The sequence below is a fragment of the Homo sapiens genome, chromosome 1, assembly GCF_000001405.40.
Source record: "Homo sapiens chromosome 1, GRCh38.p14 Primary Assembly".
In the NCBI taxonomy this organism is placed as follows: domain Eukaryota; kingdom Metazoa; phylum Chordata; class Mammalia; order Primates; family Hominidae; genus Homo; species Homo sapiens.
In genome coordinates, this window is record NC_000001.11 from 22,973,173 (window position 1) to 22,980,022 (window position 6,850).

Genomic DNA, 6,850 nt, shown 5'->3' on the forward strand with positions numbered 1-6,850 from the left:
AGAGATTTCCAGGCTTGGTCTGACCCCACACAAGCTCCTCAGGCACCTCTGAGGAAACTGGAGCACAAAGGAACCCAGTTTAAGGACCACTGGGGTCAGCCTAGTTGTGAAATATTCAGGTAACCTGGGTCCAAATCTTAGTCTGTCACTGCCAGTGTGAGCCTGTGTGACCAGGGATCATAACCTCTTTGCCTCACATCTATAAAATGGGGACAATAATACTAGCTTGGTTAGCGTGCAAGTTAAATGGAATGCGCTCTTGAAGCAGGCAGCCCAGAACCCGGCACCTAGTAAGTGCTCCATAAATTTTGGCTTCTTGTCATGGACTTGGCTTTTTTTTTTTTAAAGACAAGAACAGCTGAGCATGGTGGCTTATGCCTGTAATCCCAGCACTTTGGGAGGCCAAGGCAGGAGGATGGCTTGAACCTAGGCGTTCGACATCAGCCTGGGCTGAGACCTCGTCTCTACAAAAAATTTAAAAATGGCCAAGTGTGGTGGTGTTGCCCTGTAGTCCCAGCTACTCTGGAGGTTGAAGCTGAAGCATTGTTTGAGCCTGGGAGGTGAAGGCTGCAGTGAGCCGAGATAAGATTATGCCAGTGTGCTCCATCCTGGATGACAGAGTGAGACTCTGTCTAAAAAAAAAAAAAAAAAAAAAAGACAAAGTTGTGCTCTGTCACCTAGGCTGGAGTGCAGCGGTGCAATCAAAACTCACTGCAGCCTCCAACTCCTGGGCTCAAGCGACCCTCCTGCCTCAGCCTCCTGAGTATCTGAGACTACAAGCATGCACTACTATGCCCAGCTAATTATTATTTTTTAATTGCTTTTGGTACAGATGGGGGTCTCCCTTTTTTGCCCAGGCTAGTCTTAAACTCTTGGCCTCAAGTGATCCTCCCATCTCTGCCTCCCAAAGTGCTGGGATTATAAGTGTAAACCAAAAATAAAATTCTAAGGCCCCCAACCGTCTGAATGGACTTCCTCCTCAGCCAGCACATTCTTAAAATTTAACCTGAAAGACCGAAAGACTGGTTTAGGCCTTGACGGGGAGTAGGGGTCAAACGTGCCTCATCATACTTCTCCAGCATAACATCACATAACAAATAAGGAAAGAAATCAAAATAGTTTAACCCCAAATATATTTCCTTGTTATATCTTGAAATTGCCCTGCAAAGTTTGACTCTTGTGGGAAAAATCTACATTCTGTAGAGAATCCTCCTTTTCCTCTTCCATTTGCAGACCCAGGAGATAATCAACAGTCAGGAACCCTTTTAAGTCCCATAAGAAAACATTTTATAACCTATTCTCTCTGAAGCCTGCTAGCTATAAACTTCTTCTGCACAATAAAACTTTGGCCTCCCCAGTCTTTTATCTTAACCCAAACATTTCCTTTCTATTGATCTCAGGTCCTCAAACTCAACCAATTGTCAACTAGAACATTTTAAAATTTACCTATAGCCTGGAAGCCCCCATATCGAGTTGTCCCACCTTTCTAAACCAAACCAATGTACATCTTAAATGTATTTGACTGATGTCTCATGCCTCCCTAAAATGTATAAAATCAGCCAGGCGCGGTGGCTCACGTCTGTAATCCTAGCACTTTGGGAGGCCGAGGCGGGCAGATTGCCTGAGCTCAGGAGTTCAAGATCAGCCAGAGCAACATAACAAAACCCTGTCTCTACTGAAAATACAAAACATTACCCAGGCGTGGTAGTGTGCACCTGTAATCCCAGCTACTTGGGAGGCTAAGGCAGGAGAATCACTTGAACCTGGGAAGCGGAGGTTGCAGCGAGCTGAGATCATGCCAGTGCTGTCCAGCCTGGGCAACAGAGCAAGACTGTCTCAAAAACAAGACAAAACAAAAAAAAAGCTGCACCCCAACCACCTTGGGCACATAATCTCAGGACCTCCTGAGGGCTGTGTCATGGGCCATGGTCACTCATATTTACCTAATATTTCTCTTCAAGTATTTTATAGAGTTTGACTCTTTTTGTCGACATAGGTGTGAGCCACCACTCCCAGCCATGACCTGGCTTTTATGTCAAACTTCTACCTGGCCCCTATGGCAGATATCAGATCTCTCTCTGTGAACATTCTAGAAGATTTTCTATTGATTTTAGTTGATACAAAAGATAAAACATATATTCCTTCTCAACATTAGATGAGGTTGCACATTGGGGTTACTTGGAGAGCTCTTAAAAACCACTGGTGTCTGGGTCCCACTGCAGAGATCCCCAGAGGCGCAGCTTGGATGCCGCAGCCTTTGAAGACTCCTTGGTGATTCGACTGTGTGGCCAAGGTTGAGAATCAGTGCCCCAGATCAGTGTGTGTCCCACTTACTTGTGGGTAGGAGCATCCTAGCGATTGTGTTACATGGTAGGTTCTGAGCCAGTGAGTCGGGGTGGTATCTGAGAGCCTACATTTCTAACAAGCTCCTAGGTGATGCTGAGGCTGGTGTAAAGACCACACTTTGAGGAGCGAGGCTCCTCTGCAACTCACGGATCACACCAGCCTCCACCTCATTATTTCAACGGAGCCTTGAATTGCTATCTCCTTCTACTAATGCTCAGGATTGGGGATGGATGGAGGCAAGCCTTCTAGATCTTCTTCTGTAGCCCCCATAGCCAAAAATCTGAGTGATTTTGTCCAAACTTCACATTGTATGGCTGGCAAAAGAGGCTCACAGAGGGGAAATGACTCACCAAGGTCACATAGCAAGTTTACTGACAACAATTGATCTGGGACCCAGGTCTTTTTCATTGCACTTGGCTGTTTGGTTAATCTTCTCTGTGGCTCAGAACTGGCAGCCCGCTTCTTGGACACAGACTGCCTGTTGACAATGTACCACATACGGTCTTTAGAGCCCCCTGTGCTATGTCCTCTGGTCTCCACAATCCCAGGAGGCAGCTTCTATTCTGTCTCCATTTTACATCCGAGGAAACTGATGCTCCGGAAAGGGAGGTCCCCAAGAAATGGCAGAACTGGGTTTGGACCCAGGAGTCCTGTCGTTCCCCAGACACTGACAAGACTCCTCGGTTGCTGTGAGGATTAAATGGAATGTGCTCATGAAGCAAGCAGCCCAGAGAGAGCCTGGCACCTACTAAGGGCTCCATGAAGTTCGGCTTCCTACAATGACTCGGGTTTTTTTGTTTGTTTGTTTGTTTGTTTGTTTTTGAGACAAGGTCTCACTAACACTACCTAACACTAATCAGTCTATGGGCAAAGACTGTGTCTTATTCAGGTCTATGTCCCCAGACCTAGCACTCCTGGGTTCTGCAGTCCTTGCCCCCAGGACACCACCCCCTCCCTGAGAACCACTCCCTTGCTCCTAGCCCAGTTCTGAAGGCAGCCATTTTTCACTGCAGAGACCAGCCCTGCCCCTCCCGAATTTAACTAGACGGGAACCCACAGCGTGTCATACAGCACAGTGGCCCCAGGATGGCAGTAGATGCCCATGTGTAAGATCTCTGGCCCAGCCTGAGCCTCCTTTAAAGGGTAATTTACTTGCATGTGTCTCTTCCTCCAGGCCCTTGTCCAGGGGCTTTCCATCCATGAACCAAGATATTCCCCACAATATCCCCATAGGGAGGAATTATTCACCATCATTTACACACGAAAGATCATGTTCATCCTTTGCCCTTCATGGCCGCTTCCTACTCTTTGGGGAAAAACCAAAAACCTTACATGCGTAGTTTAAACCTATCCAGTAGATGTCCCTATGGGTCAGGCTGCAAGAGTTCAAATTCCAGCTTCCCCACTTATTACCGGTGTGACTTTGGTTGGATTTCTTGGCTTCTCTTGGACCTCAATGTGCTCATCCATAAAATGGGGTAATGAAGTAGAACCCACCTCCTTGCAGGGAGGAGTGAGGATTGCATGAAATAATACACCTAAAATGTACAATCCAGTAGCTGGCACGCAGCAAGTGCTCAGCAAATGTTAGTCACTCTTATTACCATGAGTCTCATTGGCCTCTCCTCCTGGGAGAAACTAATTGTCCTCACCCTCTGCATCAGGACCTTTAAGAAAGAAGAATGTGGGCCGGGCATGATGGCTCATGCCTATAATCCCAGCACTTTGGGAGGCCAAGGCAGGCGGATCACTGGAGGTCAGGAGTTTGAGACCAGCCTGGCCAATATGGCGAAACCCCATCTCTACTAAAAATACAAAAATTAGCCAGGCGTGGTGGTGGGCACCTGTAGTCCCAGCTACTTGGGAGGCTAAGGCTGGAAAATCGCGAACCCAGAAGGCAGAGGTTGCAGTGAACCGAGATCACGTCATTGCCCTCCAGGCTGGGTGACAGCAAGACTCTGTTGAAAGAAAGAAAGAGAGAAAGAGAGAGAAAAAAAAAAAAAGGAAGGAAGGAAGGAAGGAAAGAAGGAAGGAAGCAAGGAAGGAAGGAAGGAAGGAAGAAGAATGTGGGCCAGGCACAGTGGCTCAAGCCTGTAATCCCAGCACTTTGGGAGCCAGAGGTGGGCAGATCTCTTGAGGTCAGGAGTTCGAGACCAGCCTGGCCAACATGGCAAAACCCCATCTCTACTAAAAATACAAAAATTAGCCTGGCATGGTGGCGGGTGCCTGTAGTCCCAGCTACTTGGGAGGCTGAGGCACAAGAATCCCTTGAACTCGAGAGGCAGAAGTTGCAGCAAGCCGAGATCACACCACTTCACTCCATCCTGGGTGACAGAGCAAGAGAAATAAAGAGAGAAAGAGGGAAGGAGAGAAAGAAAAGAAAGAAAGAAGGAAAGAAGGAAGGAAGGAAGGAAAGAAAAAGAGAAAGAAAGATGAAAGAAAGAAAGAAAGAAAGAAAGAAAGAAAGAAAGAAAGAAAGAAAGAAAGGAAGGAAGAAAGAAAAAGAAAGAGAAAGGAAGGAAGAAAGAGGTTGAAAAGATATCAAATCAAAGGCAAATTAAACTTTAAAAAGGGCCAGATGTGGTAGCTCATGCCTGTAATCCCAGCACTTTGGGAGGCCGAGGTGGGTGGGATCATGAGGTCAGGAGATGGAGACCATCCTGGCTAACACAGTGAAACCTCATCTCTACTAAAAATATAAAAAATTAGCCAGGTGTAGTGGCATGCGCCTGTAGTCCCAGCTACTCAGGAGGCTGAGGCAGGAGAATCTCTTGAACCCAGGAGGCAGAGGTTGCAGCGAGCCAAGATTGCGCCACTGCACTCCAGCCTGGGCAACAGAGACATACTCCATCTCAAAAAAAAAAAAAAAACTTTACAAAGGAAAATGTTCCTCCTAAAGGATATATGAAGATACTTAGCATTTTCAGCAGTCAGGCTTTGATTGATTCATTGATTCATCCATTCACTCACTTACCCACTGAGTCATGCAACAGACATTTACTGAACATCTGCCATTCCCTGGGTCTTACACTTGGGTGTGGGGCAAAGCAGATATAGTAACAGATATTCATTGTCAGTGCATTTTTATTGAGCACCTACTCAGCGCTAGGCACTGTTCTTGGTGCTTCAGATATATCAGTGAACAACACAAAGGTCCCTGACCTGGTAGAGCCCATCTTCTAGCAGGGGCAACAGGATAAATAAGTTAAATGCTGCATTACAAAGTGATACATGACCAGGCACAGTGGCTCACGCCTGTAATCTCAATACTTTGAGAGGCTGAAGCAGGTGGATCACTTGAGGCCATGAGCTCCAGACCAGCCTAGGCAACACAGGGGAGACTCTGTCTCTATACAACATTTTTTTAAAAAAACAAAATTGGCCGGGTGCAGTGGCTTACGCCTGTAATCCCAGCACTTTAGGAGGCCAAGGCAGGCAGATCGTGAGGTCAGGAGATCAAGACCATCCTGGCTAACACGGTGAAACCCCATCTCTACTAAAAAAAAAATACAAAAAAATTAGCTGGGCATGGTGGCGGGCGCCTGTAGTCCCAGCTACTCGGGAGGCTGAGGCAGGAGAATGGCGTGAACCCGGGAGGCAGAGCTTGCAGTGAGCCGAGATCACACCGCTGCACTCCAGCCTGGGTGACAGAGCGAGACTCTGTCTCAAAAAACAAAAACAAAAAAAACAAAACAAACAAAAAAAAGAAACAACAAAATTAGCCAGGCGTGGTGGCGCATGCCTGTAGTCCCAGCTACTCAAGGAAGCTAATGAGTGAGGATCACTTGAGCCTAGGAGGTCAAGGCTTCAGTGAACCATGAGCACGCCACTGCAATCCAGCCAGGGTAGCAGAAGAAAACCTGTTTCCAAAAATAAAAATAAATTAAAAATAAAATAATATATGTCATGGTAAAATAAATAGAGCTGGGTAAGAGGGGTAGATTAGAGTATTAAATTGGGAGATCAGAATGGGCCTCATTGAGAAAGAAGCATTTAGCAAATCACCTAAGGGAAATAAGAGAGTTAGCTATATGGACAACAGAGGAATAGTGTTCACAGTAGAGGGAACAGCCAGTGCTCAGGCCTTAGGGTGGAATGTGCCTGGTGTGTTAAAAGAATAGCAAGGAAGCCAGTGGCTGGAGCAGACTAAGCAAAGGGCAAAGTAGTAGGTGAGGTAGGGAAGTAAGAGGTCAGGATGGTCACATAGAACCTTCTAGGCCACAGGAAGGACTTTGGCTCCCCTCTGAGTGAAGTGGGAGCCTTTGCAGAGTTTGAAAGCAGAGGAGTAGCACAATCTGACTCACATTTTTTTTAAGGCAGGGTCTTACTCTGTTGCCCAGGCTGGAGTGTAGTGGTATGATCATAGCTCACTGCAGCCTCAAACACCTGGGTTCAAGGGATCCTCCCACCTCGGCCTCCCAAAACACTGGGATTACAGGCACCCGGCCATGACTCATATTTTTATTTATTTTGTTTCCTTTTTTTTTTTTTTTTTTTTGAGACA